This window comes from Homo sapiens, chromosome 11 (assembly GCF_000001405.40).
Source record: "Homo sapiens chromosome 11, GRCh38.p14 Primary Assembly".
NCBI lineage: Eukaryota > Metazoa > Chordata > Mammalia > Primates > Hominidae > Homo > Homo sapiens.
Window position 1 is genome coordinate 27,773,199 of NC_000011.10, and position 7,963 is coordinate 27,781,161.

Here is a 7,963-nt window from a genome sequence, read left to right on the forward strand (position 1 = left end):
AACTAGGTGGATGAAAAGAAAAAAAGGCAAAGAAGAGCATAATTACTACCTCTATACTATGTATACTATGTTTTACCCTGGATGGGTTTAACATTTAATACAGTGCGAGAAGTGCCATGTCACCGTTCTTGTTTTACAAGGAATCTTTATGGTTTTTTCAGAGCCCAGGAGGTATTGCATGAAAGAGCACAGAAGGAAATGCTAGAAATAAGAATGACCTTATTCCATTCTCATACACTGCTAAGGTAAAGTACATGGTTATAGTATTTCTGAAGAGCTATTTGGCAAACGATATCAAAAGCTATAAAAGTGTTTACATCTCATTGGCTAAGAAATTCAATTCATGGAATAGATCCTAAGACAACACTTAGAGAAAAGCATAACTATTAAGAACATATGTTAATGTCAACATTACTTATGAGAACAAATGGAAACATCCTAAATGCCCAACAATAGATGATTGCCTGAAAAATTGTCATATATTCATGTTATATTAGATAACTGTTACAAAAATGAAATTTTAGTGGAATAATTAATGATGAGAAATGCAAAAGCAGAGTACAGAACTATAAAATGATCTCTATTCTGTAAATAAGCATATAGGTGAGAATAGGGAAAAAAAACCTATCATCTTACCAGCTGGTATTACTATTTCTCTGGGTTAAAGTACTGCAGACATTTAGAAGCTGTGCTTTGATAAGTTGCTTGGATGGGTGTAAGACCCCCAAGGTTATACTCAAGTAATAAACCATAATCCCTAAACTCTTCTGCTTTCTAAAGAGGTGCATTCTATTGATTGTAGGATTTGCTGAGCAGAAGATAGAGAAAATATGCACATCTGCCGGTAGCACAGCATTGTTTTGCATAAGTGAGAGAGGGCAGTTAGGAAATCTACCATGTCACATAGGAGAGAGGAAGGAGAGAGAGAAAGGACATCTGGAAGGTGGTGGTTGGGTGAGGGATCACAGTGAGAAGGGAACTTTGGCAAAATGTTTAAGTGGTGTTGTCAGGTTGTTTGCTGTAAGCTTTTTGTTGTACATCCTCTCTTCCATGTCCCTTAAGGTATCTTCAGTAAATTATCTGTTTTTCACTAATTAGATTGGACATCTGTTGTTTATGCCCATCCACAATGTATTTCATCTTCTGCTAACAACGCCTTGGTTTTCTTCTGGGCAACCTCCCATCCTTCCCTCCCAGTCCACATGGTTTTGGTGTTACTGACCCACCCCCTCACCCCCAAATCCAGGGATGGGTACAATGACACAGACCAGGCTAATGAGAACATCACATGTCTCTCCCTTAAGGTGATCAATTCAAGGATGGGCATGGGATCCCACGAAATGGAACCATGCCATTCTCTTCGAGACTGTTGAAAGAGTGGTATGCTCTCTCTCTCGCTCTCTCCCTGGATTTTTGAGGGGAAAGTATGAGTTTATCAGCCAGAATTGTGAGAATATCAACCTAAAGCTTTTTGTTACCCCTCTCACCACCACAAGAGGAGAGCTTGCCTATAAATGAAGTTAACCTGGAGGAAGATGGAGCTGAGAGATAAACTGAGACAGGGATAGAGCCATGCCATATGCTGGCATTATCACTGGACCTTTTTTGGAATGTGATGTGTGTGTGCAGGAGAGGGCAATGGTTTTTAAAAATATACTATGAAATAATCTGACAAAGGGCTAATATCCAGACTCTACAAAGAACTTAAACAAATTTTGAAGAAAAAAACAAACAACCCCATCAAAAAGTGGGCAAAGGATATGAACAGACACTTCTCAAAAGAAGACATTTATGCAGCCAACAGACCCATGAAAAAATGCTCATCATCACTGGTCATCAGAGAAATGCAAATCAAAACCACAATGAGATACCATCTCACACCAGTTAGAATGGCGATCATTAAAGTCAGGAAACAACAGATGCTGGAGAGGATGTGGAGAAATAGGAATGCTTTTACACCGTTGGTGGGAGTCGAAATTAGTTCGACCATTGTGGAAGGCAGTGTGGTGATTCCTCAAGGATCTAGAACTAGAAATACCATTTGATCCAGTGATCCCATTACTGGGTATATACCCAAAGGATTATAAATCATGCTACTATAAAGACACATGCACACGTATATTTATTGTGGCACTATTCACAATAGAAAAGACTTGGAACCAACACAAATGTCCATCAATGATAGACTGGATAAAGAAAATGTGGCACATATACACCATAGAATACTAGGCAGCCATAAAAAAGGATGAGTTCATGTTCTTTGCAGGGACATGGATGAAGCTGGAAACCATCATTCTCAGCAAACTGTCACAAGGACAGAAAACCAAACACTGCATGTTCTCACTCATAGGTGGGAACTGAACAATGAGAACACTTGGACACAGTGCGGGGAACATCACACACTGGGGCCTGTCGAGGGTGGGGGGCTGGGGGAGGGACAGCATTAGGAGAAATACCGGCTGGGCGCGGTGGCTCACGCCTGTAATCCCAGCACTTTGGGAGGCCGAGGCGGGCGGATCACAAGGTCAGGAGATTGAGACCATCTTGGCTAACACGGTGAAACCCCGTCTCTACTAAAAATACAAAAAATTAGCCGGGCGCGGTGGCGGGCGCCTGTAGTCCCAGCTACTCGGGAGGCTGAGGCAGGAGAATGGCGTGAACCTGGGAGGCGGAGCTTGCAGTGAGCCGAGATTGCGCCACTGCAATCCGGCCTGGGCTAAACAGCGGGACTCCGTCTCAAAAAAAAAAAAAAAAAAAAAAAAAAAAAAAGGAGAAATACCTAATGTAAATGACGAGCTGATGGGTGCAGCACACCAACATGGCACATGTATACCTATGTAACAAACCTGCACGTTATGCACATGTACCCTAAAACTTAAAGTATAATAAAAAAATCAGATTTTTAAAAATGCATAGAATGAGTATAACAAAGCCTAGATGTGCCTCACCACCCAACTAGGATATAAAATATCACCAACATGGTTAAAGCATTCTTTTCACTTCTTACTAGTCACAATCATGTCCCTGCCTTTTCAAATTGAGTTTTATTTCTTCCAATCTCCCTTTTTCCTTTTTTTTTTTTTTCCAGATATATATGTATTCGGGAGCTACATTTGTATATATCCTTAAACAATTATATGTACAATGATGTTAGAGTATATGCATTATTTTGCAATTTGCTTTATTTCATTCAATGTTATATTTGTATAATTGTTTATATTCCAATGTATAATTTTAATTCACTCATTTTCTCTGCTTTATAGTATTTCTTTGTATGCATATACTATAGTGTATTTATTCCTTCTCCTGTGGATGGATATTTAGGTTATTACACTGAAATTTTCTATGATCCAATAAATTTCATTTTCTGCTACACCAGTTTGAGGTGAGTTTTCTGTTACTTAGAAGAGTTCTGACAAACACAGAAAGCTTTTGTGTGGCCTATTTCAGGCTCAAAAAGAGTAAGAAGAAACAGCCAATGCCTGGGTTACAATTATGCATATGAAAAAAAAAACTGTAATAAAATACACCAAAATGCTTGCTGGTGACATTGTGGATAATTTTTTAAAATTTGTTTTAAACCTTTCTTGTTTTTCCACATTAAATATGTACTATTATTATAATCAGAAAAACTATTATAAGTAAACATTAGGAGACGGTCATTGCAAAGTGACTCCTGCAGGGTAAATATGGCACAAATTCATTAGTAGAGTGCAAGTAAAAGAGGATTTGTAATATGTACCCAATAGCAAACAACAAGACAAATACCACTTAAATATTTCTCCAAAGAACGCTTTTTTACTGTGCCACTTTACTCCCTGGGGGTAAAGGTCCTTATTTCTCAGGAAGGTCTGGAACCTTGGAGATGGGGGTCTTTTTGCTCAGAGGGTCTTATTTTTGCCTGTTGTGCGTTTCATGGGAATCAGGAGAGGAGGCAAACAGATGGGAGTGGCAAACTAATGCTCCTTGTTTTTCTTCCTCCCTCACAGTCTCAGAGCTCCCCCACTTAGAAATGAATAACTTTTGAACCCCTAGCTGGAAGTCACCCCACTTAATAGCTCTAAAGCGTGGAAAAAATAACAACAACAAAATACTATCAGTCTTTATATAGGGTGCCTTAGACGATGGTGCTGAAATGAAAGAGGCAATGAGAAATTGTTCCCCAAATTAGGGATAAGGCAGTTCAGATTTAGAATCTGCCAACAAGTAAAGGCCTTAAAAGTGATCTAATCCAACCCCCTTATTTTATAGACATGAGAAGTGACTCAAAGAGAATCAAGGTGATTGGCCCAAGGTCACACACCTAGTTCATGGTAGGGCTTAGATTTGACAATAGATGTCTAGATTCTTCTGCTCCATTATCTTAGCTGAAGAACAGTGGCGAAACTATTGCTTTTGCTACCAGCTATGCTGACATTGCCAGAATTCACATTAAATGCTTCCAAGTTGCCTTTTTGTTGCAAGACAATCTTGTAGGCAGTATACATACATGAATGTCTATATTTGTAACAAGAACAACAGATGCCAATTTGGACTGGCACCATCTTTAGATTGGGAAGAAGGTAGATGTTAAGAATATCCACTATGGTATTTAGGATAAGAGTGACAGAGTTCATGGACTGATATTTAGTAACTTCAATATTAACTCCTTAAAACAGGAATGCAATTATGAATATGAAAATTAAAAAGCAGACTATAGAAATTTCAAGTTGTGGGAAGATTTTTCTCTCATAGGTGGCAAAAAATTAGGCAGACATTGGGGATTTCGTGAGAAATATTGCTAACTGATGATGGAAGATATCTCCAAGCTAAGTCCTAGGGCAAATACTTACTTAGGTCATCTCCTTGGGCAAGGTGCATTGACATTCAAAAGGATAACTTGGGTTCCTGGGAACTGCTCAATCATCTGAGTTTCTAAGACTCAATTAGGATAACTGTATGCTATTGTTAAAGTAGAAAGCAAGACTCAAGATTTTATTTTTAAAAAGTTTAAACATTTTTTAGAAAACAAAAGTGTATTTGGAATTTATCCTAAGATAACTAGGATATCAAATTAACTAGACACCCCATTCCTTTTTCTGATCCTTTTAGGTAATTTGTGTCCTCCAATGCACAAAACGGTAGCGGTCAAAATTGTACAACAAGCTGCAAAAAGGGGCAGCTTCAGATGTTATTGCCACTAGATTTAGAAAAATGGATCTGTATAGATCAAAATTCTCTAGTGAGCAAATGCACTCACCATCCTACACCATTTTCTCAGAAGCATAAATGTTCATTTATCCAATTAGGCAAAATTTTAAACGAGTCACTGAACGTAAACTAGAGGGAAAGAACGGCTAGGATTGTAAAGCAGATCCAAGAACAAATATTTAAACTATAAAATAGAGCTGGGTTACTTCAGAAGTGCATTCAAAAGGAAGAGGAAGACAATCCAACAGGGAGCAGGTGGCTGGAACATCAATGGGTTCAGGGAGTGGACAGGTCAGTAGTGATGCTTTGATAAAGAACAAAGAATCTGAAAAAAACAATGGGTGAGTTAGGGAATATTTGTGGGTTTTTTCCTTCTTTTTAATTTAATTTAACTTTTTCTTTTTAGAGATGGTGTCTCACCATGTTGCCCAGGCTGGTCTTGAACTCCTGGCCTCAAGCAATCCTCCCATCTTGGCCTCCCAAAGTGCTGGGAATACAGGCATGAGCCACCACACCCAGCTTGGAATTCTTGTTTCTTGAAAGCATTTTTGTTGAAGTCATTTCAAGAGGCTAATCTATATACTTTTTTAAAAGATGTTTTCTGATAGTTGTACATAGTTCTGAACTCAGTATCTGTTCAACAAACACTTACTGAGCACCAACCAAGTTCTAGGGAATCAAAGATAGCAAATAGTTTTCATCTATACTTGAAGCCATTGCTTCCCACTGGTGTCCTCTTTTCCACATGAGACCACCGGCTATGTAGATTGCCTTATCACTTATTAAAATTTTGCCCATCCTTCATCACACATCTCCTGAGCCTGCTTCTTGGTGAAGCCCTCCCTGATCATTCTAGCCAGCTGTGTTCCCTTGCCTTGTGAGGTCTCATGGTATTGAGTGATGGCATCTCACAAACTTGTTATCTGAGGTCTAGCTTGTTGGCTATTTGTAGACATGTCTTTGGTACCTCTGTCCCAAAATCATTAGTGATTATAACTTCCTGGAAGACAGGAAACATATTGCAACAAATTTGGTATAGAAAAAGAACTTGGAACTTTGGAGTCCCAGTGTTGGAGATACAAGGATGAACAACACAAAGGTCGGTCTTCATTGTGTTTACAGTCTAGTGGTGAGGATAGTAGGCTACAATTGCTCTAGTGAAGATCACTTGATTCCATATGTGGTGTCAGGAAGGAAGATGCAGGTGCAATGGGAACAGATTATAGAGGAGCCTAATTTGGCTCGTAAAGTCGGTGGTTTCTTTAAGGAAATGGTGGTTTCAGCTGAGTCTTAAAAGATACAAGCTATCTGGAAGAATTCAGGTGGGATAGAGCTTTCCAGGCTGATAGGACATCATGTGTGAAGGCCCTGAGGTATTCAAGAAGCAGACAGAAAGCTGGTGTGACTCAAACCTAAAGAGTTAGTGAGGGAAAGTGTGATGTGAGATGAAAGAGCACATGTGTTACGTTAACCAGAGGCCTTGAAGTTGTTTTAAAGACTGGAACAACTGGAAACCTCTGGAAGATTTGGAAGATAGCGACCTGTTCAGCTTTGTGTTTTAGAACAGTCACTCTGAATATAGAGTGGAGAATCGATCAGAGGTAGGCAAGAGTGGATGACCAGTTAATAGACTCAGAATATTCCACATGAGAGATAGCAGGGTCTTGAAAATGGTAATTTAGCATGGTGGAAAGAAATAGTTGGCTTTGAAACCCATTTGGGAGACAAAATCAATGGAACTTTGTGACTGATTAGATATGAAAGCAAGGAGAGGTAGTTGTCAAAAATGTTTCCTGGATTTTGTCGTGAGCCACTGAATAGGGTGCTGATCAATGAAATGGCAAACACACCGGGTGAGCCAGTTTGGCAGAGCTAGTGAGTTACATGGTGGCCACATTTAACTTCACAGCAGCACTTCAGATGAGAAAAAAATGAGATTCAGATAAATTAAATGACTCCTTATTTTCACCATTAAGGATAATACTGATCAGGTGGGAAGTTCAGACTTCCTGATTACAAAGTCCCAAGTTCTTTTTCTATACCAAATTTGTTGCAATATGTTTCCTGTCTTCCAGGAAGTTATAATCACTAATGATTTCGGGACAGAGGTACCAAAGACTTGTCTACAAATGGCCAACAAGCTAGACCTCAGATAACAAGTTTGTGAGATGCCATCACTCAATACCATGAGACCTCACAAGGCAAGGGAACACAGCTGGCTAGAATGATCAGGGAGGGCTTCACCAAGAAGCAGGCTCAGGAGATGTGTGATGAAGGATGGGCAAAATTTTAATAAGTGATAAGGCAATCTACATAGCCGGTGGTCTCATGTGGAAAAAAGGACACCAGTGGGAAGCAATGGCTTCAAGTATAGATGAAAACTATTTGCTATCTTTGAGTCCCTAGAACTTGGTTGGTGCTCAGTAAGTGTTGAACAGATACTGAGTTCAGAGCTATTTACAACTATCAGATCTTATATATCCCAGATCCTCCCAGTAGAGGATCTGGATATATAAGATCTGATAGTTGTAAATAGCTCTGAACTCAGTATCCTCCCAGTAGAGGATCTGGGATGTATAAGAAGTTTCTGTAAGGTTTTTAGTCTCAACCAATAACACTCAACATGCCCTTCTTATAACAAGTATTTTGTAGTACAAACTTTCCTATCCTGAAATGAAAATCATGGATAAAATAATCTGCCTATACTCACAGTTTCAAAAAAAATCAATTGTGATGTTTTAAGTGTGAGGAAAAGACTAATTAAAAGAAAAGT